A 26533-nucleotide genomic window follows, 5' to 3' on the forward strand; every position below is an offset into this window, starting at 1 on the left:
GGATACTTAGTGACATCAGCCACGAGCCAATGGGAAGTCGGGCTCCAGCCGTCGCGCCAATGAGCGGCCGGGGGCGGGCCGGGTTTCCTGGGCGCCTGGCTGGCCGGGCTGGTCCTGCGGCCGCGGGTGAGTCTCGTCCGCTCGCGCTGCCCACCGCGGCTCCAGCAGCTCCAGGCGCGGTTCCCCGGCCCGCGCCGCTCCCGGCCCCCCGGCTCGGGCGCCTCCCGCCGCAGCGCAGGCTCCCCCGCCGGCCGGGCTCCTGCGCGGCGCGGCTCGGCTCATGCCCCCGGGCGCGGGGCACACAGGCCGGCCGGCAGCCGCTGGGAAATAGGCCCCCGGGGGCGGTGGCGGCGGCGGGGCCATGGCGCGGAGACCCCGGGCGCCGGCCGCCTCCGGGGAGGAGTTCTCCTTCGTCAGCCCGCTGGTGAAATACCTGCTCTTCTTCTTCAACATGCTCTTCTGGGTGAGTCTCGGGGTCGAGGGCACCTGGGCGGCGGGGTCCCCCCGCGGGGTGGAAGGGTGGCCCGGGGTGCCCCACGCGCGGGAGCCGCACTGCCGAGTTTTCTGGGCTGACGGCACTTTGGGGGAATTTATCCTGGGGAGGGACACCCCGGGGACGCCGCGTCTGCAGGGGGCGTTGTAGGGAGGAGGGTATGCCAGGGAATCAGTAAAGACTGATGGGTATTCTCGGGGCGTCGGAGGAGGGTCTGTGTTAGGCTAGAAATGTGGGTTTGAGGGAGCCTGTTGGCCCAAGGCGGACCCACTGACACATTCATGATGGGGGTCGGGGGTGGCGGCTGACTTTCAGGCCTGGGGGCCTGGAGGCCCGGCTGGCAAAGAAAGAAGAGGAAGGAAAAACCCAAACCTCTCTCTCCACCACCTCAGAGAGGATGGGTTACTGGCATCATCTCTTCCTTTTGCAGGCCTCATCTACCCCCACCTCCACCCCCCCAAAGTCTAGGAAGAATGGCCTCCAGGTGCAGATGTCTTTCCCATCCCAGCACTGCCCCAAACTTTGTCCCCTCCCTGCCACCCTTCTCAGGACCAGACTTCACCCCTGGAGCCTGGCAATCACCAGTGTCTTTAAACAGGACCCCGTGTTGGGCCGGAGGGCCAGGGGTCCTTTCAGAATCTTCTGCTTGGGGTGGAAAAAGTATTGGGCTGGGACTCCGGACACCTGGATTCCCATCCCACTCTGCCGTTCATTGTTGACTTGACCGACCTAAGCATGTATGTTCATGTCTGCAGGCCTTGACTCCCTCCCCCACAAATCCAACCCAGTGTGATCAGGGGTGGCAGAAAGACTGCTGAAGCTGAGAATTGAGCTGAACCAGATCATGCAATGCCAGCTCGACCCTGTTTCCTGGCTAGAGAGTCCTGGAGGTCCTGGGGTGTGAGAACATAGGGACATCCTTCCCCCATTCACCTCCTCTTCTGGCTCCTACCACACCAGAGCTGCTGCTTCTGGAGCCCACCATCCTTGCCCACTTCAGCTGGAGACCTAAAGTTCAGACTTGCAGGAGGGAAGAATTGAGTCTAAAATATGTTTCCTAGGGGAGGGAGCAGAACAGACATCTAAGCCATTTGCTGGAAAGGTTTCACAGGGCCCGTGGGGTGAGGTGCAGACACAAAGCCCATAAGTGCTGGCCTGTTGGGACAAATGAGAGAAATCCCATAGGGTGGTGATGACAGCGCACTCAGCCATCCTACTCCTGGGGAAAATGAAACTTGTGCTCCTATCAAATGCTCAGTTGTAAAACTGGAAAAAAATTTTAGAAGACATCTTGTCCAGCATCTGTGTTTATGTCTATAAAATGTAGAAAACTAAAGCACAGAGATGTTAAATGTTTTGTCCAAGGTCCAACAGCTGGTTAGCAGGCTTGGTCTGGTGACCTTTCTACTGAACCACAGTGCCGCTGGGGGAAGTCCTCAGCACAGATGGCTGCTGCTATAGCTGGGGTATGGGCAGTATTAGTAGTTAACCAGTCAACCCAAGTTCCCATAGTCTAGGTTCTGCTTCAGCTGGAGGTTAGGGAAAAACACAAGAAAATCCCTTACCACTCTACCAGTGCTGGGGGATGTACTAAGAGACTCCCCACTTAGGGGCAAGTATCAGTGAAGTCTCTGTGCTCACTGAGTGTGCCAGGCCAGTGACGTGACATCCTCGGAGCCAGCACTAGCATTTCAGGGACTTTAGGTCGTCACTCTGACTTCCTTTATCTGCCGAGACTGTCTCCCTTGGAGCCATTGGTACCTCACCCTTGTCTGTGCTCGCCAGTGACAACAGCTGGGTGCATCTGTTACACTTGTGTTCCTGGTCATTTTTTTTTTCTCGAGCTTCCCTACCCCCTACCTCCACCCTACCCCCCTTTTATCGGACAAACGACTTTGAGAGATCTCAGCCAGGAGAGAGTTTGGCTCCACAGACCCATTTACCTTGGTAAAAATGCTTCATTCAAGGTCAGAAGACGTGGGTGGCCAAGCTAGCACCACCCCAAATTAGAATAGAGCCCCTTCTTGGCCCTACAGTAGACTCATAAAAAATCAGAGGCTCTAGAAATAGCACACTGAAAGACAAGAGGCTCAGCATCTTTTTGGCACCAACTTACTGTGTGACCCTAAGCCAATGTATCTGTCTCTCTGACCTTAATCTTTCTCCTCTAAAGGAGAAACAATTTCTGCCTCAGTGAACTATTTAAGGATGAATGAATCATTTTGGGGACTGTTTTCTTTCTTCAAGACCTAGAGCTGGATCTAAGGATGAATCTCCCTGTGTCCTGATTGCCCTTCCTAGGGGACAGTACTTTTCAGGTGTTATTGAATGTCCCTTCTCCCCCAAACCCAGTGCTGCACAGGTATATTCATACAAGAGCAGCTGGAGAGAAAATGCTGCCTCCCCAGATCAGGGGGCCATCTTTCTTCCTAGCTCCTCTTCAGGGACTGGTTCCCATGCTTTCTTTTTTGTAGACTTCCACCATCCTAATCAAATTCTGCTCTTCTGCCCAGGAAGCACCTATGGATGAGATGATGGTCAGCCCACACCCTTTGCAGGCAGAGTGCATGCTCTGGCCGGCTTCTGGAGCTGCCGCATGGCAGTGGTTATTGTGTCTGTGCCTGGAACCCACTAGGAAGGTGTCCGGCATCCTCTGGGCTCTGAATAGTGGTGCTGGTGGTGATGGTGGCTACGTCTGCTGTTGCTCTAGAAGCCCTGACTCTTGGGGCATTTGGAGTCTGACTCAGAAAACTAATGAATTTTGGGGGACTGGGACCAGTTCCTACTGTTCATGTTTCAAATCTCACTTCCCCTTTGACCTGGGAGTTCTGATTTTCTTCCCAGAATCATGTTGCTGGGTTACTGACTGTGGGGATTCCATGGCCTGGAGTAGCTGCTCTAAGATCCTAGATGTTGCATTTAAATCAGTTAGGGTGGCTACAGAGCAGCTGCCTCTCCTCACCTCCCTCTGCAGGACAGCTCCGTGCAGATATTGGGGTGGTGCCTGCTTTCTCAGCTTGGCCATGTGTTGTCAGGAATATTCAGTGCCGCCCACCTCCTTCCTCGCTGGTCCTTTTCCCACTCAGGGCAGCAGTTGGCTGGCTTTTGAGTCAGGCAGAGCCCAGAAGCTCAGACCTCCAGCCCCTGTGTCTCAGCCCAGGCTTCCCTAGCAGCCATGCCTCAGGGCTCCCATGGCACCTTCTGTATTCTTCTATTGTCACATCCCTTACCTGTGCTGCAATTGTGTTTACTTCTCCGTCTCCCCCTCTAGACTTCGGGCTCTCGAGGGTGGGCACGGCCCTATTCACTTCTGGATCCCCAGTGCCCAGCTGTGTTTGGCATAAATTGGGTGCTTACTGAATGTTTATTGGATGGTGAGTGAGAGAGCAAACCCCACAGGGTAGAGGCTTGATGCCCATCCTCCCTTCCTCATGGACACTGGCCTGTCAAGATGCAGCTCAACCTGGGGTCCTTGAGCACTCTTGGTGATGAGGTACCCAACTGTGTTCTCCTCTGTGGTGGGTCTGGCGGCCTGGCAACCCTCCACTTAAGCCAGGTCAGAAACATGGCAGCCATCCCCTCCTCAGAGCCACACGTACTTACTGCCTACAGCATCTGGATTTTCTCACTTCCACTGCCACATATATGCACCCTTGTCCAGGTCTTCCCTAGGCTGAGCCAAGCCACCAGTGGGGCATCTTCTTCAAGAAATCCACTCTCCCATCCAGGACTACTGTATTGGAGTCCTTGGGCACTCAGAATCACCCAGGCCACTCTCAGCACCATTTCTTTTCGTCTGGCTCAAAAACCATGAGGAAGTAACCAGGCATCAAGCCAGGCAAAAACCTCTTCTAAGTGGCAGGGGCCCTTTCTGCCATCCAACCCCCTCATCCTATACTTCCAAATACACTAGGAGGCAGAGCCCACCACCTCCCTCCTCCACCCCCGCCGTCTTCCCCATAGACTTGGCTGGCTTCCATAACTGAAGACAGATGCTTTTTATAAAAACAACGAAAATTACAAAATATGGGAAATGAAGACAAGAACCATCTCCTTTGCTATGCAGGTCGCGTGCACACTTCTTAACTTCCCAGCAGCTTTGTTTGCCCTGTACCAAGTAGAAAACCATAAACGTCAAGCAGCCTTTAAAAAGGAAAAAAGAAGGCTGGGCGCGGTGGCTCATGCCTGTAATCCCAGCACTTTGGGAGGCCGGGGCAGGTGGATCACCTGAGGTAAGGAGTTCGAGATCAGCCTGGCCAACATGGTGAAACCCCATCTCTACTAAAAATGCAAAAATTAGCCAGGTGTGGTGGTGCACACCTGTATTCCCAGCTACTTCGGAGGCTGAGGCAGGAGAATCACCTGAACCTGGGAGGCAGAGATTGCAGTGAGCCGAGATTATTACATTCCACGCTGGGCAACAAAAGTGAAACTCCGTCTCAAAAAAAAAGAAAAAAGAAAACATAGAGTGCCTCTCAGATCTTTTTAGGAGGCTAGTGCTGGGCCAGTCCCTCCGGGGCTTTGAGTTTGAATGGTTATTTACTGCAAGCCCTTGCAGACCTCCCTTCCTCTTTCTTAACCTTGGAAGAACAAAGCCAGCCGTGGCCTGAGGAAGATGCCAAAGGCTTGGCCCCGGACATTGTTGAGGAAGGAGCCCTGTGGACTCCTCCACTCCAGGGGGACAGTGTCCCCCAATCCAGAGGGAGAGCGCTGACAGCCAGCCTCCCATGGACAGCCGCCACCTCAGACACCCATAACAGCAGCGCCATGGAGAGCACAGAAAGACCAGTATGTGAAGGTCACGGGCAGGGAGAGAGGTGGCCCTACTCCGGGGCCACAGGCTGAAAGCTCTTTGGCTTCATCCAGATATAAGGGTAGGGAGGACTGAGAAACCAGAGGTGGAGACCACTGCCTTGCCCACTTCCCTCTGGGCAGGGACAGGGTTTTGATTGCCACACAGGGAACCACTTTACCCTCAGCTGTCTCCACCATCACCTTCAAAACAGGAGGGAAAGAGATTCTAAGGAGGGGGTGCGGGCCCTGAGACAGTGGGGCTCCACTGCTTCTTGCAGCCTGGACTTTGGACTATGGAAGACAGACAAGGCTAGGGCTTTCCCTGGAGGCTACGCCTGCTGGTGGCCCCACTGTGGCAACGCCATGCCTTCCCTTTTCAGAGTGCTGTTCCAGAGACTTCCCTCTGAGCCACCTCCTGGGCCCTGCTGGCACCCTGTCCCCGCCGCCAGCTGCAATCTTCCTTCCCCTGCCTGAAAACCAGCCCATTTGGAGATTATCAGCTGCTCCCCCAAGGGAACCACAAGCAGCTGCTTCCCATCTCCCATGATGGCTGATGTGAATAGGCAAAATCCTGGGGGTACTGGGAGGCAGAGATAGGAAGGCAGCCAAGTGGCCAAGCTCATAAGGCTTTGGGGACATCCAGACCTAGGTTCCATTCCCACTTCAGCCGCTCACTAGCCATGTGAACTGAGGAAAGTTGCTGGAATTCTCTGAACATCAGCTCTATAAAATGGAGATCCTAATGCCCTCTTGGGTTTGTGGTCAGAATTAAATGAGACAGTGTTTAGCCCAGCGCCTGGTCCTTAGCACTCAACAAAAAGTACTGCCACTGCTGTCCCTGTAAATGCTCCTAGAGGTCACCTGCTGGGGGTGGGCGTGGAGAGTGAGGCTGAGCGCTCCTCCAGGGAGGAGGAAAGAGAGTGGCAAGCAGACAGGGACTGGCTAGGGAAGGGCCAGCCTTTGCTCAACCCTCTTTGCTCACATTCTCACCATAACAAAGGAAAACCAAAAACAAAGGAAGAAAATCAAAGAGAAAAGAAAAAAAGCTAAGCAGGAGACAATCATTATTGGTAGCTTTATATTTTTTAGTTTATGGAGATACTTCCTATATATCCCATGAACAGAGCTCCACTGTTGTCTCCTGGGCTTCCCTAGCTCTGCTTCTCAAGGCTTGTCACACCACCTTGGCCTTTTAAAACTTTTATTTACGTATTTATTTGTTTATTTGTTTGTTTGTTTAGACATGGTGTTGCTCTTTGACCCAGGCTGGAGTGCAGTGATGGGATCACAGCTCACTGCAGCCTCGACTGCTTGGGTTCAAGCAATCGTCCCACCCCACCCTGCTGAGTAGCTTGGACTACAGGCATGCATCACCATGCCCAGCTAATTTTTTTTTAGAGACTGGACTTACTGTGTTGCCCAGACTGGTCTTCAAATCCTGGCCTCAAATGATCTTCCTCACTTTGGCCTCCCAAAGTAGTGGGATTACAGGCATGAGCCACCATGCCTGGCCCTACCTTGATCTTAAATGCAATCCAGTAGAGATGGACTCTGGGAGCTAATTTGCCTGTAATTATTGGCATTTGGGCATAAGAGCCAGGAGAACAACCTTTGTTTAGGACCTCAAGTTGAGGCCCTGCAACCTTTCCTCTCCTATTACTGATGGCCCTGAAGTACTGTCTTGTGGGCTAGAATAAGGGTTTCTCCTTTTAAACATCAAATCATGACTATTTTTTCCCAATTTGCAAGAAAAAAAGTCAAGATAAGAAAATTTTCTTCATTTTCTCCTTTCTCCCATGAACATTAGTACCTGCAACTGCTTATCTGCCTGCAAGTGCTAACAAAAGGCAAGCAGAAGAGGACAAGTAGCAACTATTATGGAAAACTAGGAAACAATTTATTTAGAGTATGCCTGCGTTGTTTTATGAAACGCAGAGACATACACCTAGCAGCCACATCTCTTAGTAAAATTGTTCCTTAGTTCTGTAGTAGAAATTAATATGTTTGCCTCCTCACATGATACACTGAGATGGACACAGCAGTATCTGTGTAATATTCCTGTCAAATATGTGTAATCTGAATCTGTGAGGAAACAAACAAATAAATCCAAATCGAGGGACATTCTGCAAAACAATTGGCCGGAACATGAAAAATGTCAGTGTCCAAAAAAATGTCAGAACAAGTGTTGGGAAGGATGTGAAGACACTGGAACCCTCACACTTGGCTAGTGGGGAAGTAAAAAGGCACAGCCGCTGTGGAAAACAGTTTGGCAGCTCCTTAAAGAATTAAACATAGAATTACCATATGATTCAGCAATTCCTAGGTATAGAGAACATTGAAAACAGGTATTCAAACAAGACCTTTTACATGAATGTTCATAGCAATACTATCCACAGCAGCCAAAAGGTGGGAGCAACACAAATGTCTACCAATGGAGGCATGGAGAAACAATTGTGTTACAGTCACACAACCAAGTATTATTCAGCGATAAAAGGAAATGAAGTTGGCAGGGCACGGTGGCTCATGCCTGTAATCTTTTGGAGGCTGAGGCGGGCAGATCACTTGAGGTCAGGAGTTCGAGACCAGCCCAGCCAACATAGGGAAATCCCGCCTCTACTAAAACTACAAAAATTAGCTTGTTGTGGTGGCATGCACCTGTAATCCCAGCTACTCAGGAGGCTGAGGCACAAGAATCGCTTGAACCTGAGAGGCAGAAGTTGCAGTGAGCTGAGATTGCACCACTACACTCCAGCCTGGGTGACAGAGTGAGACTCCATCTCAAAAAACAAACAAACAAACAAACAAACAGGAAATGAAGTTGTAACACATGCTACAACACAGATGAATCTTGAAAACATTCTGCTAAGTGAACCGAACGCGGGTGGCTCACACCTGTAATCCTAGCACTTGGGGAGGCCAAGGCAGGAGGATCACCTGAGGTTGGGAGTTCGAGACCACCATGACCAACATGGAGAAACCCCATCTCTACTAAAAATACAAAATTAGCCAGGTTTGGTGGCACATACCTGTAACCCCAGCTACTCGGGAGGCTAAGGGAGGAGAATGGCTTGAACCCGGGAGGTGGAGGTTGCAGTGAGCCGGAGATTGCGCCACTGCACTCCAGCCTGGGCAACAAGAGTGAAACTCCGTCTCAAAAAAAAAAAAAAAAAAAAAAAGAAAAAGAAAAAGAAAACATTCTGCTAAGTGAAAGAAGCCGGACACAGAGGGTCACCTAGTATGTAATTCCAATGACAGGAAATGTCCAGAATAGGCAAATCCATAGAGACTGAAAGCAGATTTGTGGTTACCAGGGGCTGGGGGCGGAGGACAGGGTGATGGGAATGGGGAGTGATGGTTTAATGGGTACAGGGTTTCTATTTGGGGTGATGATAAAGCACTGCACCCTGATGGTGGTGATGGTTGCACAGCCATGTGAATGTACTAAAGGCCACTGAACTGTTTACTTTAAAATGTCTAAAATGGTACATTTTGTGTCACATGTATTTTACCATAAATTTTAAAGTCAGTGTCTTAAAGACCAAAAACAAAGGAAGAAAATTAAAGAGAAAAGAATTAAAGCCAAGAGACTGTTCCAGGCTGAAGGAGAGTTAATCTCTAAATGCATGATCCTTGATTGGATCCTGGATAAGAAACAAAAAAAAGGTTACAAAGGACATTTTGGGGATAATTGGGGAAAGTTACATATGGACTGTAAATTAGGTCACAGTAATAGTGTATTAAAGTTTAAAAAAGATCAGTTGCAGTGGCTCATGTCTGGAATCCCAGCACTTTCAGAGGCCATGGCGGGTGGATCACTTGAACCCAGGAGTTCAAGACCAGCCTGGGCAATATGGTGAAACCCTGTCTCTACAAAAAAATTTAAAAATTAGCCCAGTTGGTGGCATGTGTCTGTAGTCCCAGCTACTCAGGAGGCTGAGGCAGGAGGATTGCTTGAGCCCAGGAGGTCAAGGCTATAGTGAGCCCTTGATTGTGCCACTGTACTCCATCCTGGGTGACAAAGCAAGACACTGCCTCAAAGAAAAAAAAAGAAGAAGAATATGACAAAATCTATAATGTACACCAACAGAGCACTGTGACTTCCCAGTGCTCTGTCACTTGAACAATTTTAAGATCCACTATCTTAGCCAAGCATGGTGGCTCATGCCTGTAATCCCAGCACTTTGGGAGACCAATGAGGTAGGATCACCATATGCCAGGAGTTTAAGACCAGCCTGGGCAACCTAGCAAGATCACATCTATACCAAAAATTTAAAAATCAGGTGAGTGTCATGGCATGTGCCTGTACTCAGGAGGCTGAGGCAGGAGAATCTCTTGAGCCCAAGAGGTTGAGGCTGCAATGAGCTATGATTGTACCACTGCCCTCCAGCCTGGGCAACACAAGAGTGAGACCTTGTCTGTTGGTGGGGGGAAGAAAAAAAGATCCACTGCCTTAAGTTTTGGTGTGATTGATGGGAAATCACCCAGATTACAGTTTGTAAAACTGTATGCAAGTGAACCCTAGTTTATGAAAATCTGATGTTAAAAAATGTATAGGCCAGGTGTGATGGCTCACGCCTGTAATCCCAGCACTTTGGGAGGCTGAGACGGGTGAATCACCTGAGGTCAGGAGTTTGAAACCAGCCTGGCCAACATGATGAAACCCTGTCTCTACTAAAAATACAAAATTAGCCGGGTGTGGTGGCTCATGCCTGTAATCCCAGCTACTTGGGAGGCTGAGGCAGGAGAATCGCTTGAACCTGGAAGGTGGAGGTTGCAGTAAGCCGAGATCGCGCCATTGCACTGCAGCCTGGGCAACAAGAGCGAAACTCTGTCTCAAAAAATAAAATAAAAAGTATAAACTAACAAATTGGGGTGGGAGGAGGTAATAGACTATTTTTCAAGAACAATTTTACAGAAAAATTGAGAAGATAGTACAGAGATGGACGTTTCTCAAAAAACAAAAAATAGAACTACTAGACAATCCAGCAATCCCACTACTGAGTGTTTATCCAAAGAAAAAGAAATGAATATATTGAAGAGACATCTGCACTCCCATGTTACTGCAGCACTATTCACAATAGCCAAGAAATGGAATAACCTTAAGTGTCCATCTACAAATGAATGGATACAGAAAATATGGTTCATATACATAATGGGATATTATTCAGCCATAAAAAAGCATGAAATCCTGTCATTCGTGACATAGACAGAATTGGAGGTCATTATGTTAAGTGAATAAGCTGAGCACAGAAAGACAAATATTGCATGTTCTCACTCATATTTGAGGGCTAAAAAAGTGAAACTCATAGAGGTAGAGAATAGAATGAGTTACCAGAGGCTGGGATCCAGGGGCAGGAGGATGAAAAGAGGCTGGTTCATAGGTACAAACATATGGTCACATAGAAGGAATAAGTTCTAGTGTTCAACAGCACAGTAGGGTGACTATAGTTAACAACAATATATTGTATTTTTCAAAATAAATTTAAAAGGCTTCTAACACAAATGATAAATGTTCAAGGTGGTGGATGTTCTAAATACCCTGATTTGATCATTAAACATTGTACACATGTATCAAAATATCATATGTATCCCATAAATACATACAATTTACATATATCAATTAAAAACATTTTAAGATAGTATTGAGAGTTCCTATATACCCCATACTCTGTTTTCCCTGTTATTAACACATTAGTATGATACATTTGTTGTAATTAATAGTATTATCATTATGGTCTACACTTTATTGGTTTTTTTTTTCATTTTTATTTAATATCCTTCTGTTCCAGAATCCTATTCAAGATACTACATTACTTTTTTCTTTCTTTTTTTTGAGACAGGGTCTTGCTGTGTCACCCAGGCTGGAGTGCAGTGGCACAATCATGGCTCACTGCAGCCTCAACCTCCTGGGGTCAAGCGATCCTCCTCCCACCTTAGCCTCCCAAGTAGCTGGGACTACAGGCATGCACCACCATACTCAGATTATTTTTATTTTTATTTTTATTTTTTGTAGAGATGAGGTCTACGTTGCCTAGGCTGGTCTCAAACTCCTGAGCTCAAACCATCCTCCCCGCTCGACCTCCCAAAGTTCTGGGATTCCAGGCGTGGCCCACCATGTCCTGCCCTACATTACATTTAGTTGTCATGTCTCCTTAGGTTCCTCTTGGCTGTGACAGTTTCCTAGACTTACCTTGTTTTTAATGACCTTGACAGTTTTGGGAAGTGCTGGTCAGGTATTTTGTAGAATGTCCCTTTATTGGAACTTGCCTGCTGTTTTACTCATCATTGTAATACTGGGGTTATGGCTTTTGGGAGGAAGACCAGAGAAGTCAAGTGCCATTTTCATCACATCACATCATATCATATCATACAAGTGATTCAGCAACATGATCATTGTTGATGTTGGCCTCGATCGCCTGGATGAAGTAGTGTTTATCAGGTTCCTCCGCTGTAGAGTTAGCCTTTCTCCCCATGTTCCACACTGTGCTCTTTGGAAGAAAGTCACTATGCACAGTCTGCACTGAAGGAGTAAGGAGTTAAGCTCTACCTCTTTGAGGATGGAGTACCTACATGAATTATTTGAAATTCTTCTATGTAGGAGATTTGTCTTTTCTCTGCTATTCATTAAGTCACTTATTTATATCAGCATGGGCCCACAGATGTGTATTTTTTATTTTGGGTAATAATTCAATATTTCTTTATTTCGGTGCTCAAATTGTTCTAGCCTTGGCCATTGGGAGCTCTTTCAGTTGGCTTCTGTGTCCCTTTGGGATGCTCACATTGATGAGGATACTGATGTGGGGAATTCATTTTTGTTTCTTCGTGAGCATTTCCTTTCTTTGGGGCACTACAAGATGCTCTAGGCTCATCTCGTGCCTTTCCTGCCCCCATCCTAGAATCAGCCACTTCTCCAAGGAGCCCAGGGGATGGCTATTTTCATTACAAGGTGATCATTCACCTTTCATAGGGATAATGGTACTGGTGTGTGCAAATTATTTTATATAATTTGACTGACAACTTTTCAGGAACATACATTTTGCTAAAAGCTAGACTCAGCCATTTTAAAAGTTGTATCTAGCTCTTAGAAGTTTCCAGCCAGGCTTCATTCTAGTCGGAATGTGAAAAGCTATCCAAAGAAGAGAAATGTCTTTATCTCCATCCTCATCGTGAAAGGAGGTCATTCATGATATTGTGAGGTGCCATAAGGATTTTACAGAAAATTCTAGCATAGTGGAAAGAGTTCCAGAATGAGATTGGGAGGTTGGATTTGGTCCAGATGGTGCACTGCACCCATATGCACTTGGTTAAATGTTACTTCCGCTCTTTTGGCCTCATCTATAAAAAGAGGTGAGTGGCCAAAACCCATTTCTAAGGTTCTGTTCACCTCCAAACGTGATGCTATGAACAGCAGCAGCAGCACTAACTTTGGAATGGCAGTAGCTTTGAGGAATCCAGGGTGGGAAGTGGGGGCAGGAATGGGGGTGTGCAAGGTCAAGCTGTGAAATGCAGAATTTGAGAGCTTAGGGGAGAGATATCATTAGTGATCATATTAAATATTAATAATAATATTAAAGACTTAATCTTGATTTTAATGTAGCCTGTATCTGTGGCTCTAGATCCCTGGCTGATTATTCTTTAGGCTTGTAGGTTCTCAAGCTTGGCTGCACATTGAAATAACCTGGAACACATTCAGAAATACTGTTGCCTAGGTCCCAATGCCAAAGATTCTGATCGACTTGGTTTGGGATGCAGCCTAGGCATTAGCAGTTTTTTAAGCCTCTCCCCCAACAACCCTAAGTCCCAGGCGATTCTAATGGCAGCCAAAGTTGAGCATGTGCTTTCAGCTATAAACGCTCTTGTCCCTCCACCATATCCACGCATGGATTAAGGGTCCTCAGTGTACCATCTGCATAGCAGCAGATGAATTGGATCTGGACAGTGTATTAGTTTCCTGTTGCTGCTGTAACAAATGACCGCAAACTTAGTGGCTTAAAACAACACACATTAATTTTCTTATATTTCTGGTGGCCAGAAGGCCAAAACAGGTTTCACCGGGCTAAAATCAAACAGATCTCGCTGGGCTAAAATACAGCAGCCCCGCATTCCTTCGGGAAGTGCTAGGAAGAGCTCGCCTCCTTGCCTGCTCCAGCTGTTAGAGGCAGCCCTCATTCCTCCATCCGTGGCACCACAGCAGTCCAGCCTCTGCCTCCATCACCGTCTCCTTCTCTGACTCTGGCCCTCTTGCCTCCTTCTTAGAAGGTCTTTTATGATTATACTGAGTCCTCAGGGATAATTTCCCTAGCTCAAAATTCTTAATCACATTTGCAAAGTTCCTTTGGCCATGAAAAGTAACACAATCACAGGTTCCAGCAATTAAGACGTGGACATCTTTGAGGGGACATTATTCTCTCCACCATAGATAGAGACAGAGCAACTGCTGTCATTACAGGCCCATAAATACAGTTAACTTACTCTATGATATGTGGCATCTCTTTACTTTGCCCATTTTTTCAACTTTTATTTTAGGTTCAGAGGTACATGTGCAGGTTTGTTATATAGGTAAATTATGTGTCATGGGGTGATATTTCATAACCCAGGTAATAAGCATAAGTAGTTTTCCGTCCTCTCCTTCCTCCTACCCTTCACTCTAAAGTACATGTGGCCATGTGTACTCAATGTTTAGTTCCCACTTACAAGTGAGAACACATGGAGTTTGGTTTTCTGTTCCTGGATTAATCTGCTTAGGATAATGGCCTCCAGCTGTATCCATGTTGCTGCAAAGGACATGATTTCATTCGTTTTTATGGCTGCGTAGTATTCCATGGTATATATGTACCACATTTTCTTTTCTTTTTTTTCTTTTGATATAGAGTCTTGCTCTGTCGCTAGGCTGGAGTGCAGTGGCACGTTCTCAGCTCACTGCAACCTCCGCCTCCCGGGTTCAAGTGATTCTTCTGCCTCAGCCTCCTAAGTAGCTGGGACTACAGGCATGTGCCACCATGCCCAGCTAATTTTTGTATTTTTAGTAGAGATGGGGTTTCACCATGTTGGCCAGGATGGTCTCAATCTCTTGACCTCATGATCCACCTGCCTCAGCCTCCCAAAGTGCTGGGATTACAGGCATGAGCCACTGCACCCGGCCCCACATTTTCTTTTTCTTTCTTTTTTTTTAGAGATGAAGTCTCACTCTGTTGCCCAGGCTGGAGTGCAGTGGCATGATCTCGGCTCACTGCAACCTCCGCCTCCCAGGTTCAAGCGATTCTCCTGCCTCAGCCTCCCAAGTAGCTGGGACTACAAGTGTGTGCCACCATGTCCAGCTAATTTTTGTATTTTTAGTAGAGATGGGGTTTCACCATGTTGGCCAGGCTGGTCCCAAACTCCTGACCTCGTGATCCACCCGCTTTGGCCTAAGTGCTGGGATTATAGGCGTGAGCCACCGTGTTTGGCCTGACCCCACATTTTCTTTTTCCCGTACTGTTGGTGGGCATTTAGGTTGATTCCATGCCTTTGCTATTGTGAGTAGTGCTTGTTTGGCCTTTCTTGTTTTAGCTGTGCTACGATTTAATCAGATACCATCTTTGTGGAAAATTATACACCCTGGTGAAAATTTGACATGAAAAACAATGAGAGCCTGGAAGCAACAGAAATCAAGAGCAGATACACATTTTTCAATAGTTCAGTAAAATGACACTCAGAACTGTAATTGGCTGCAGTGGGTTTTAAAGGGCAGACAGAGATGCTCACTGACTCTGGTGGAGGACTGGCCACCAGGCCTGGGGAATGACTGGCATCTCTGTCATGTAGTTTCCCTGCCTCCCCCATGCTCCGTGAGCCTGGCAGTGCTGTGGGACAAGGCGCCAGCTGGCACCTGCAGCTCTGCTAGCAGCTCCCACCCTCCTGGACAAAGAGTATGAAGGCCAGCAAATAACACTTTGGGCCCTGAGTTAGAGGCATGGTCAAATGATGTGAGGTGGGAAGAGACCGGGGCCAGCTGAGTGTGGTGACTCACACCTGTAATCCCAGCACTTTGGGAGGCTAGGGTGGGAGGATCAATTGAGCCCAGGAGGTCAAGGCTGAAATGAGCTATTATCATGCCACTGCACTCCAGCTTAAGCAATAGCACAAGACCCTCCTCCCTCACCCCGCAAAAAAGAGGGGGCTGTATATACAGGCAGAGAAGAGTTCTGGAAGACGTGGTTTTAGATAAAGGTTTGCCATTTACTGCTGAATGCACCTGCCCTCCCCTGCCAGATGGCAGAGGACCTTCAACAAGGAGGCCTACAGGGAAAAATGAGGGACTCATCTGACCCTATTACCTGTTCTGGGGGCCTAGCTCCCTTCTTCCACCAAAGCCCCATGGTGGCTCTTTCCAGCTGCTTTCCGTCTTGCAGGACAGTGGTGTCTAGCCAGCCATCTCCTTCCCCACTGAGTTGGTCAAGACCCTGCTGCTGAGAACTCTCTCCTGCCAGAGCTTGGCCCCATCTGTTGCCATGGCAACAGCCAGCTGCTGCTTAGCACCAGCCTGGAGACTGGGCACAAAAAAAGGGTGGCCAAGGGAAGTAGGCACTGGGGCTCTCCTGCACCCCTGGAGGCCTGGGGGCTAGGGGGTAGATAAGGCCTCTTTGGGGTCTCCTATTAGTCTCTGATGGGTTTGTTCTCTCAGGGAGAAGCCAGGAAATTTGAAAGATCTAAACTCCTCTCTATTCCTCCACACTGGAATCAGAGTTTGTGAAGATAAAGGTTCCTTTGCCAAGGCAGTTCCAGTGCTTACATACATGCACTCACACACAGTCCTTCACATTGGAGTGCACTTTCTTTTTGTACTTGACATGATATTGACCTCTAAGAGGGTTAGAGAGCTGGGAGTATGCAACCGCCCAGGCCTGCTTTAGGTATAAAACCTGTCCTTTGATGCAGATAGATTCGAATTCAAAACTTTTCCATTTATGTGTGACCCTGGGCAAGTTAACTATTAATAATGATAGATAATATTTATTGTCAGGCATTGTGTTAAATTATTTCCATGCATTATTTTAGTTGGTTCTTACAGTAATCTTGTCAGTTGTTTGTTCTTACTTCCCATCTTCAGATACAGAAACTGAGGCTCAGAAATTTGCCCTATGTGTACCCAAGTTTGACTCGCTCTGAAGACTGTGTCCTTTTTAATTTTAACTTCAATTTATTAGAGACGGGGCCTCACTCTGGCACCCAGGCTTCAGTGCCATGGCACAGTCATGGCTCACTGCAGCCTTGCACTCCTGGGCTCAAACCATCCTCCTGCCTCAGCCTGCTGAGTAGCTGGGACTACAGGTGCACACCACTGCACCCAGCTAATTATTATTTTGTGTGTGTGTCTAGAGACAAGCTCTCACTATGTTACCCAGGCTGGTCTCAAACTCCTGACCTCAAGTTGATTCTCCTGCCTTGGCCTCCCAAAATGCCCAGCCTGAAGCCCATATTCTTAATCACTCTTCAGTATTAACCTTGGATTGCCTTAATTTCCTCATCCGTAAAATAGGCATAATGTCTGCCTCACAACCTAATTGTGTTACGAGCACTGAATGAATAATGAAAAATATGATGTGGGTAAAAGTGTCTCATGGAGGTAAAGCCCTGACAGATTCTATCAGCAGAATCACTGGGGAGGTGAAAGATGCTCACCTTTGGGTCCCAGGAAAGCAGTCCTTCTCCTGCTCTCCTAGGTTTCTCATGGCATTCAGGGCTCTCTGGTTTCCAGAATCTCAGGGTCTGGCTCTTTTCCTGTCTCCACAGGTGATTTCCATGGTGATGGTGGCTGTGGGTGTCTACGCTCGGCTAATGAAGCATGCAGGTGAGCTGTAGCTCTCCCTCCCTGCCCCCACCTTGTGCCATGCCCCTTTCCCCTCTGCCTCCTTCAGCCTGGCCCTCACACATAAGCTATGGGGCTAAAGGAGGCAGCCTCCCTGGAGCCAAATCTTCATGGTCTACGTAGGTGTCAGACCCCCCCAGGCCAGTGCCCCTGGATTTCCCTGAGCCCCTCTGAGTCTTCCAGGATATGCCTACATTTGAGGCTTAGGAAGTGTGTGAGAAAGAAGGTAGGCCCCTGGGAGCAGAGAGTCATCAAGGGCTTTAGCCCCTCCCTAGCTCTGTCCTGGAGAAACCCAACCACCATTCCTATTTCACCACACAAGTCACCAGGAAACAGAATCTGCAAAGCTGGTGAGCCTAATGCCATTCCAATTCTTTTGCGGAGCGAAAGCAGCCCCTCCTTAAGCCCAGGAATAAAGGCTTTTATTTCTTTAGTTCCTCAAATTAAATGCCACAACCCTTCTGGGCCCTTTTTGGTTCTCCCCATGGGACAGGGGTACTGCCTCCCCTTAACCTTCATCCAACCATAATGGAGATTCCCCCACCAGGGGAAGGAGAACAGTTTGGGGCACCCTCCCACCCCATCCAGGGGTTCCTCAGTGGGCACCAGGCTCAGGCTGAGGGCCGGCTCCTTTTCCAGAAGCAGCCCTAGCCTGCCTGGCAGTGGACCCTGCCATCCTGCTGATCGTGGTGGGTGTCCTCATGTTCCTGCTCACCTTCTGTGGCTGCATTGGGTCCCTCCGCGAGAACATCTGCCTCCTGCAGACGGTGAGTGGTCAAGGCCCCACTGGAAAGACCCTGGCCCTCTCCCCATCATGCCTCTTAGCCTCCCACGGCCCTTTGGTTGCCTTGTCCTACCCTACCCCCAAGCCTGTGCTGTCCACCCCTCAGTGCAGAGCTTAGCCCGGGTGACCCAGCACAGGGTGGCCACCCCCAAGACAGTGTCCCAGAGGCAGCTGCCTTTCTCATGTGTGGGGCATCTGGGAGAATTGCCTGGCAGCTCCCAGCATCCCCTTGGCCCTGGAAGGGGTTGCTGCCATGAGTGGTCCTAGACGCCTCTTCTTCCTGCTGCTCCACAGTTCTCCCTCTGCCTCACCGCTGTGTTCCTGCTGCAGCTGGCCGCTGGGATCCTGGGCTTCGTCTTCTCAGACAAGGTAACACTGGGAGCCAGGAGGCCTCCTCAGGTGTGACCCAGAGGGAGGAAGGAAGGTTCCTGCCCATGTTTAGCCTGGTTAATTAACCACAGCTCCTTCCCCTGAGAAACATCAGTCGTTGAAAAGTTCATTAGGGGTGAATGAATAGCCTGTAAACTCATCATATTTGAAGAGAATTTTAAGATCATAAGGTGCTTTCCTCTGACAGTCTGAGAAGCTAACAGGGAAGTAAATTATACAAACACAAAGTTAAAATAACTTAGAAACTTTAATAGCAAATGACAGAATCAAACTCAATAATCAAGTGGACCACTGACAATATGAAGAGCCTCTTATTTCTTTTAAAAATTGTTTATTGAGATAAACAGAAGGAAGGAAGGGGGAAGAGAACAAGATTTTGTTTTGAGGTTTATTTTTCTTTCTTTCTTTTTTTTTTTTTTTTTGGTTGTTGTTTTTGTTTTTTAAGAGATGGGAGTCTCACTAGGTTGCCAGGCTGGCCTTGAACTCCTGGGCTCAAGTGATCCTCCTGCCTCCATCTCCTAAGTCTCTGGGATTACAGTCATGTGCCACCATGATTGGCTTAATAAAAGGTTTTGAACAATGCTTGCCATATCTGGAAATGGTCTGCCATTCAGTGACAGTCCTTTTTAAGAACCAGAATGTCTTTCCCAAAAGGCAAATGATTGCCAAGGGCAGACTACAAAACTAAGGAAAGAAAATTTGAGAAAAGTAGTGGGGCAGGAAGGAAGAGACTATGGTAGAAAATTATGAAATTGGGCCAGGCGCGGTAGCTCATGCCTGTAATCCCAGCATTTTGGGAGGCTGAGGCGGGCAGATCACTTGAGGCCAGGAGTTCGAGTCCAGCCTGGCCAACATGGCGAATCCCTGTCTCTACTAAAAAACACCAAAAAAATTAGCCAGGTGTCAGGAGGCTGAGGCACAAGAATTGCTTGAACCCAGGAGAAGGAGGTTGCAGTAAGCTGAGATCGCGCCACTACACTCCAGCCTGGGCGACAGTAAAACTGTATCAAGAAAAGAAAAGAGAAAGGGAGAGGGGAGGGGAGGGGAGAAAATTATGAAATCGAGAGCCACTGAGTTAATTCCGAATTTCGTAGTCCTCCTGGCTTACAGTAAGATCCTGAAATGATGTATTAAATAGCTCTGTTTTGAGTCTAAAGAGATGCAATTATCTAGTGTCCACTAGAGGGCAGTGCCTCAGCTCAGTAAGCTACTTTCTGCTAAAAAAATTAAAAATTAGTTTGTTTTTATCAGTCAACAAGTATTTTGTGATAATAGCATTCAGAGATAGATACACATTGGTATATCTTGAAATGTGTCTCTGAAAAGCTTCAACAGCAGGTCCAGCATTTCTCCTGCCCACTGGTACCTGAGGGCCCTGGGATGGGCTTTGGAACTGAACCGGCTATCTTCCACCATTAGGACTCGGTTCTGATTTCAAGGCAGACTCAGTTAAGAAGGATGATCCCTGTCTACTGTTATTTTTGCTGGAAGGAGCAAGTTAGGGATTAGTCCTGTGTTCTGATTCCTTGCCCATGTCTCCGGCAGGCTCGAGGGAAAGTGAGTGAGATCATCAACAATGCCATTGTGCACTACCGAGATGACTTGGATCTGCAGAACCTCATTGATTTTGGCCAGAAAAAGGTATGGGTCAGCCAGTGGTCTGGGGGACTGTGGGTAAAAGTGAATGTCATCCCAAGAGATGCCTCACCCTCTATGCCTGTGGGGCTCTTCATTACCTGCCAGGTAATGGCTTCTGGGAAGGGGTTTGGCAAAAAAGCACACGTAGCAGAGTGCTTTAAATGTACTTTTAAAGACACAGAACAGTATATATAGTAATCTACTGTGTTATAAATGGTTACCTACAGGGGGTGAGGAACTGGGCAGATTCTTGAATATTACCTCTTCAAAAGTGACATTTTAGGCTGGTCCAAAGGGAGTGAGTTATCTCATTTGATTGTTCACAGTCAGCTACAGATCCAACTCCTTGTTCTACTCTTTCCCCCCTTCTCACTGCTGCACTTGACTAGACTAAAAAAAAGAAAATTACATTTAAAAAATTGTGATAAAATTTACATAATGTAAAATTTACCATTTTTAAGCATACAGATCCGTGGCATGAAGTACCTTCAATTGTTGTGCAACCATCACCACCATCTCCAGAACGCTCATCTGCCCCAGATGAAACTCTGTATCCATCAAACACTAACTCCCCATTTCCTCTCTTGAATCTCTGTATCCATCAAACACTAACTCCCCATTTTCCTCTCTTGAAACTCTGTATCCATCAAACACTAACTCCCCATTTTCCTCTCTTGAAACTTTGTATCCATTAAACACTAACTCCCCATTTTCCTCTCCTGAAATTCTGTATCCATTGAACACTAAAGCCCCATTTTCCTCTCCTCCAGCAACCACCATTCTACTTTCTGTCTGTAAATTTGACAACTCTAGGTACCTCAAATGAAGGGACTCACGGTATTAATGCTTTTTTGAGTGGGTTATTTCACTTAGCATGTCTTCAAGTTTCATCTCTGTTTTGGCATGTGCCACAACTGCCTTCCTTTTGAAGGCTGAATAATATTCTGTTGTATGTATATGCCACATTTTGTTTATCCATTCATTCACCAGTGGAGAAAAGGGTTGCTTCCACCGTTCGGCTACTGTGAACAAGGCTGCTATGAATCAAAAGTTAACAATTAGGCCAGGCATGGTAGCTTACATCTGTAATCCCAGCACTTTGGGAGGCCAAGGCAGGCAGATCATTTGAGGTCAGGAGTTTGAGACTAGCCTGGCCAACATGATGAAACCCTGTTTCCACCAAAAATACAAAAATTAGCCGGGTTTGGTGGCGCACACCTGTAGTCCCAGCTACTCAGGAGGCTGAGGTGCGAGAATAGCTTGAATTTGGGAGTTGGAGGTTGCAGTGAGCCAAGATCATGCCATTGCACTCCAGCCTGGGTGACAGACAGAGACTCCGTCTCAAAAATAAATAAGTGAAAAATAAAAGTTAACTTTTTTTTTTCCCTGAGACGGAGTCTTGCTCTGTTACCCAGGCTGGAGTACAATGGCGTGATCTTGGCCCACTGCAACATCCGCCTCCTGGGTTCAAGTGAATCTGCCTGCCTCAGCCTCCTGAGTAGCTGGGATTACAGGTGCCTGCCAAACCACGCCCAGCTAATTCTTGTATTTTTAGTAAAGATGGGGTTTTGCAATATTGGCCAGGCTGGTCTTGAACTCCTGACCTCAGGTGATCTGCCCTCCTCGGCCTCCCAAAGTGCTGGGATTACCGGTGTGAGCCACAGCACCTGGCCAAAAAAGTTAACTTTTAAGTAAAAGTGCTTCTGAGACAAGTCCTGAGTTCCCCTTCCTCTGGTGCAATAGACACTTGACTTTGAGATCCAGTTGGCTCTCATGGAGTAATGATTGACTCACAATATTGAAGATTCCTCCCCTGTGTTTTCTCTATCTTAAGGAGAAGTTTTTCAGCACTGATACTGTAATTATTTCAGCCAATACTTTTGATCACTTCCATTTGCCTGCAAAGCCAGAAACTTCTCTCAAGAAGATTATAGCTGAGTATGTAAAACAAAATATATGTACAACTGTAATACCAACAAGCACAGTGGTAAGTTATAACAAGATATACGAAGTAATAGAAATTAAGAAGTGAGAATATCTTCAGGCGAAGGCAACTGGGAAGCTGGAGCTCAAAGTTTAAGGCTGTGTTAAAACACAACCTAAAGTTCCCAGTAGAAGCTTGCTATAGACTTTTGGTGGCTCTGAGAATTCCCCTGGTCACCTCAGTGTGAGGGGTGGGTGATTCTTAACCTCTGGTGGGTTTTGTTGCAGTTTAGCTGCTGTGGAGGGATTTCCTACAAGGACTGGTCTCAGAACATGTATTTCAACTGCTCAGAAGACAACCCCAGTCGAGAGCGCTGCTCTGTGCCTTACTCCTGTTGCTTGCCTACTCCTGACCAGGTGAGCCAGCATCCTGCCTCATTTCCTCCTAGGCAGCGAGCTGAGTCACTTTCTGATGGGGGCAGCTGCTACTGGGGATCCCCATCCCCTAGCTTCACCGATCAGTCATGTGGGACAGCTGTCAGGTGTTTTTCTTCACCCCAACCTGATGCTTCTATTAACCTCATACTCATGTAGTCCACATGGAGTTCAGAAGGGACAGATTTAAGTTTTAAGTTCAGATTCAGTACCTGTGCAGGTTTGTTATATAAGTAAACTTGTGTCTTAGGGGTTTGTTGTACAGATTATTCCACCACCCAGAGCAAAGAGACCTGGATCCTGACCTCTCAGAGGAAGGGAAGTCTGCATTTGGCAACTTCCAACCCAATATCCTCCACATATATTCTCTGACAATTTAGGAGTTTGGGAAGGGTGGGAAGCCCATCAGCTAAGGCCCCAAACAAAAAGTTATTGGAATTACAGTCCCAATTGGCTTTTCAACTCTTTCCCCAGGCAGTGATCAACACTATGTGTGGCCAAGGTATGCAGGCCTTTGACTACTTGGAAGCTAGCAAAGTCATCTACACCAATGGCTGTATTGACAAGTTGGTCAACTGGATACACAGCAACCTATTCTTACTTGGTGGTGTGGCTCTAGGCCTGGCCATCCCCCAGGTAACTTACCCTGTGAGACTTGTTGGTCCCACACACTCTGTAAAGACTCCTTTGTTTTGGGGAAGGCACCTGGGGATCAGCGAGGGTGTCAGGCACTGACATGGCTGAGGGGTAGGGAAAGGGATAGTGCTGGCCGCACTGGGAAGATCGAGCCAGGGAAAACAAGGCCATCACTCACTGCTGAGTGCCCAATTCCTTCTTGCCTCTCCCAGCTGGTGGGAATTCTGCTGTCCCAGATCCTAGTGAATCAGATCAAAGATCAGATCAAGCTACAGCTCTACAACCAGCAGCACCGGGCTGACCCATGGTACTGAGAATCCATCCTGCACCTCCTCACCATGGAAACTGGCAAGCCTCATAAACGAACAGCAGTGGGTGCTGAAAGCAGCACCAAATGGAGATTTGGATTCCAGCCCCCCAGTGACAGCCCAGTGGGAAGAAGCAAACTCCAGATGGGCAGAAGGCAGGGTGCACAGGTGGCTCCAGTCTCAGGAGGATGCGCCTCCTCTCCCCCATCCCAGCCCTCAGCATTGTGCCAGAGTGATACCCTTAAGTGTTTGGGTTTATGTTTTCAGTTTTGTTTGGGAAACAGCAGTTGCACAGAGAGTTGGGGGTACTGCTGCTGCCTTTTCACCGAGGCACTGCCACCACCAGCTCTAGCAGGGATGCTCCTGAGCTTGGCGGACATACTTAGATCCTAACGTGCCAGTGAGACCTGGCTGTGGAGAGTAGCACTGGCAGCCCTGCCTGGACTCCACTTGGCATGATACCAGCTCCAGAAGGGAAGGGAGTGGAGCAGGCAGTGAGGAGAGAGCCTGGGGGTCGGCTGGGGACAGCCGTATGTGCTAGGTAGGAGTGGAGGGAGATATGTTTACCAAATGCCTGTCCTGCCATCCTCCCAGGTAGTCAGAGTGAGCTACATCCTGCCCCGCCTTCATTTCCATGGAAACATGGCAGCTAGGACACGGGGTACAACAGCAGCCAAATTCTTCCCCACCTCCCTTACTTCGAAAAAAAGTTTGGAACCCTGGTCCCTATACTCTGCAGTCAGAAGTGGGACTGAGCCATACATGCCCTTGAATTCCTCCCTGTCTGGCCCTCCCTCTCCAGCAAGCAGGGTTTTCTTTAACTTGGCAGTGTGCAGAGGAGAAGTGGTAACACCCCCACCCCATTCCCCTGCATCGGAGCTCAGTATTCCTACAGGGTAAGAGGTAGGAATCTTGCTGGGACGAGGGGAGCCAGAAGTGGCAATAAAAGCGTGTTGACCTGGGCTACGCGGGACTCCATGAATTTTCCATTCTGGCAACTGGAAGGGGAGGTGTAGAAGGGCCCTGCAGAGGACGGCACTGGAGACTCTCCTAAACGCCACACACCTCCCCCTTGCTGCCCGCCACACGCGCGTCTCCTTCAACCGATGCATTGCCACCCTCCCACAGCCTCGCCCTCTGCTCTAAATTAGGTCGAAAGAGTCCCAGTTCCAATCTAGGAACAGCATAATTTTGTTCCAAAACCTGATCTGTGTTTTTCTAATTAAAATTAATTTGTCACCCAAAACAGGAGGGGGATGGGGAGGAGGGACATGAGCACTCCGCTGGGGCCGGGACGGGGAATGAGGAGGAAGAAGGCCCTCTCTTCCCCTACCCGGGCCCTCCAGGACCTTCTCCCTGAGTCGGCTGTAGGGAGGACTCCGAGGAAGCTCGGCGCGGTGCGCTGGGCCTCCTGGCGCCGGGAGGAGCGCGCGAGGCAGGCGGGGCGGGCGCGTCCGGGGCGGGGCGCTGGACTTCGTGGGTGGTCCCCGCCCCCGCGGCGGCCTAGGCCCGCGCCTGCGTCCCCCAACCCGGAGGAGATGGGGGGCTGTGCTAGCTGCTTGCCCAGCGAGTGTTCCCGGAGTCTCCTCGCCGCACCCCGCTATCGGGCGCTCAGACCAGGGGCTCGGCCTGGCGGGAAATAGCCTCGACCGAACTGCTGCGGGGACAAAGAGCCGCGAGTTCGCTCCCTGCCCCCAGTGTCTCCTAAGCGAGCCTTCTGCTCCTAGGAAGGCGCCTTTCCAGCAGCCGCTGGGACCCTGGCCAGTGTTTAGCTCCCAACTAGTAACAGACGGAAAGAAAAAATAAAATTATCCAGAATCTAGAATAAAAAGTAAGGGCCTTTTATTCTGGGAGAGGACAGTTAAAAAGCGCGCTTTCTTGCTAACTTGCCTTTCTTGGTTAGTGCCAGAGACGTGCACTTTATAAACTTATTTAAGTGACACGGACCCAGAAGTCGATGTCTTGGGTTAGAGGTTGGAGTGATGCGCCCTCTGGGTTCAGCGGCTTTGAGGAGCTCACCCTGCAGCGGGCTCCGTTTGGGGCCCCTTGGAGGAAGTAAGACCAGGAACCGTGATCCTCAGAATGATTATTCAAATCTGGATTTTCAAAACTAAGAACTACACTTTCACCATCGCCTCTACTGTCTCTCAGTATCTAGCCTCCTGGGTCTGGACTAAAAGGCTGGGAACTTCTGCCCATGCCCCAGACTTTATAACGCACAGAGCAAATGTTCAGTATAGTGCAGTTCAGGGTTCCTAGCTAGATTGCAAATTGCCAATGTCTCTGATTCTCAGTCTGTAGCTTTCTTTCTCTTCGGCCTGATGCTGGGGAAGAAAATACGCGAAGTTTTATATTTCATGTTTGCTCCTTGAATTTCTACCTATTTCTAGTAACCCTCCTCCCAAACACACACTGTTACCAGACACACACTGTTACCGGGAGTCCTTCCCAAGAGAGGGTTCTTGGATCTGACACAAGAAAGAATTCAGGGCAAGTCCATAAAGTGAAAGCAAGTTTATTAGAAAAGTAAAGGAATAAAGAATGGCTACTCCATAGACAGAGCAGCCCCAAGGGCTGCTGGTTGCCCATTGTTAGGGTTATTTCTTGATGATATGCTAAACAAGGGGTGGATTATTCATGCCTCACCTTTTTAGACCATGTAAGGTAACTTCCTGACGTTGCCATGGCATTTGTAAACTGTCGTGGTGCTGATGGGAGCGTAGCAGTGAGGACGACCAGAGGTCACTCTCGTCAACATTTTGGTTGTGGTGGGTTTTGGCCGGCTTCTTTACCGCAATCTGTTTTATCAGCAAGGTATTTCTGACCTGTATCTTGTGCCGACCTCCTATCTCATCCTGTGACTTAGAATGCCTTAATCTGCTGGGAATGCAGCCCAGTAGGTCTCAGCCTTATTTTACCCAGCGCCTATTGAAGATGGAGTTGCTCTGGTTCAAATGCTTCTGACACCACTACTTTAGAATAGCTAATCAAATGTAGGCCGCAAAGGTGGTTGAATGAAAGGAGATTCTTGGGGACAGCAGAAATCAGGCTTGGTACACAGAGGTGGAGAGAAAGGCCTGAAGGATGGTGAAAACCTGCCAGGGTGGCATGCCAAGAAAGGCACCACTAAGTTCTGCGGGCCTTAAGCCCTGCAGTTAAACAAAGACTTGTGCCCAGAAGAGCAAATTTTGCAGAATGTTCAGTGAAATTCTGATTTCCTCCTATCAGGTTTTTATTGCTACTGTTACAAATTACCAGACATTTAGTAGTTTAAAGCAACACAA

The 26533-nt window shown here is 48.3% G+C and overlaps 1 protein-coding gene and 1 pseudogene across 2 annotated transcripts, besides 7 other annotated features; both read left to right on the forward strand.

Moving 5' to 3' along the window:
* Positions 1 to 210: a silencer, noted in NCBI's record as "silent region_18623". NCBI's record gives its function as "represses an Ori minimal core promoter by ATAC-STARR-seq in GM12878 lymphoblastoid cells {active_cell/tissue: GM12878}" and the evidence as "EXISTENCE:reporter gene assay evidence [ECO:0000049][PMID:35858748]".
* Positions 88 to 25080, forward strand: TSPAN33 (tetraspanin 33). 2 transcript variants are annotated; one of them, NM_178562.5, is made up of 8 exons: positions 88 to 463; positions 17060 to 17117; positions 17775 to 17902; positions 18214 to 18288; positions 19855 to 19950; positions 22159 to 22287; positions 22780 to 22941; positions 23154 to 25080. In NM_178562.5, exons 1-8 carry the CDS (start codon positions 362 to 364, stop codon positions 23253 to 23255), a joined length of 852 nt encoding a protein of 283 aa, NP_848657.1. In that variant the 5' UTR covers positions 88 to 361; the 3' UTR covers positions 23256 to 25080. The 2 variants fall into 2 exon arrangements, with proteins under 2 accessions (NP_848657.1, XP_006716023.1); XM_006715960.4 differs by having other exon boundaries at positions 17778 to 17902.
* Positions 3073 to 3122: an enhancer, noted in NCBI's record as "active region_26624". NCBI's record gives its function as "activates an Ori minimal core promoter by ATAC-STARR-seq in GM12878 lymphoblastoid cells {active_cell/tissue: GM12878}" and the evidence as "EXISTENCE:reporter gene assay evidence [ECO:0000049][PMID:35858748]".
* Positions 5056 to 5652: an enhancer, noted in NCBI's record as "H3K4me1 hESC enhancer chr7:128789516-128790112 (GRCh37/hg19 assembly coordinates)". NCBI's record gives its function as "activates a minimal SCP1, AML or CMV promoter by ChIP-STARR-seq in primed H9 embryonic stem cells {active_cell/tissue: H9 hESC(primed)}" and the evidence as "EXISTENCE:reporter gene assay evidence [ECO:0000049][PMID:30033119]".
* Positions 5653 to 6249: an enhancer, noted in NCBI's record as "H3K4me1 hESC enhancer chr7:128790113-128790709 (GRCh37/hg19 assembly coordinates)". NCBI's record gives its function as "activates a minimal SCP1, AML or CMV promoter by ChIP-STARR-seq in primed H9 embryonic stem cells {active_cell/tissue: H9 hESC(primed)}" and the evidence as "EXISTENCE:reporter gene assay evidence [ECO:0000049][PMID:30033119]".
* Positions 20230 to 20339, forward strand: RNY1P11 (RNY1 pseudogene 11; annotated as a pseudogene).
* Positions 24568 to 24787: a silencer, noted in NCBI's record as "silent region_18624". NCBI's record gives its function as "represses an Ori minimal core promoter by ATAC-STARR-seq in GM12878 lymphoblastoid cells {active_cell/tissue: GM12878}" and the evidence as "EXISTENCE:reporter gene assay evidence [ECO:0000049][PMID:35858748]".
* Positions 25158 to 25207: an enhancer, noted in NCBI's record as "active region_26625". NCBI's record gives its function as "activates an Ori minimal core promoter by ATAC-STARR-seq in GM12878 lymphoblastoid cells {active_cell/tissue: GM12878}" and the evidence as "EXISTENCE:reporter gene assay evidence [ECO:0000049][PMID:35858748]".
* Positions 25277 to 26146: an enhancer, noted in NCBI's record as "NANOG-H3K27ac-H3K4me1 hESC enhancer chr7:128809737-128810606 (GRCh37/hg19 assembly coordinates)". NCBI's record gives its function as "activates a minimal SCP1, AML or CMV promoter by ChIP-STARR-seq in naive H9 embryonic stem cells {active_cell/tissue: H9 hESC(naive)}" and the evidence as "EXISTENCE:reporter gene assay evidence [ECO:0000049][PMID:30033119]".

The sequence above is a fragment of the Homo sapiens genome, chromosome 7 (assembly GCF_000001405.40).
Source record: "Homo sapiens chromosome 7, GRCh38.p14 Primary Assembly".
NCBI lineage: Eukaryota > Metazoa > Chordata > Mammalia > Primates > Hominidae > Homo > Homo sapiens.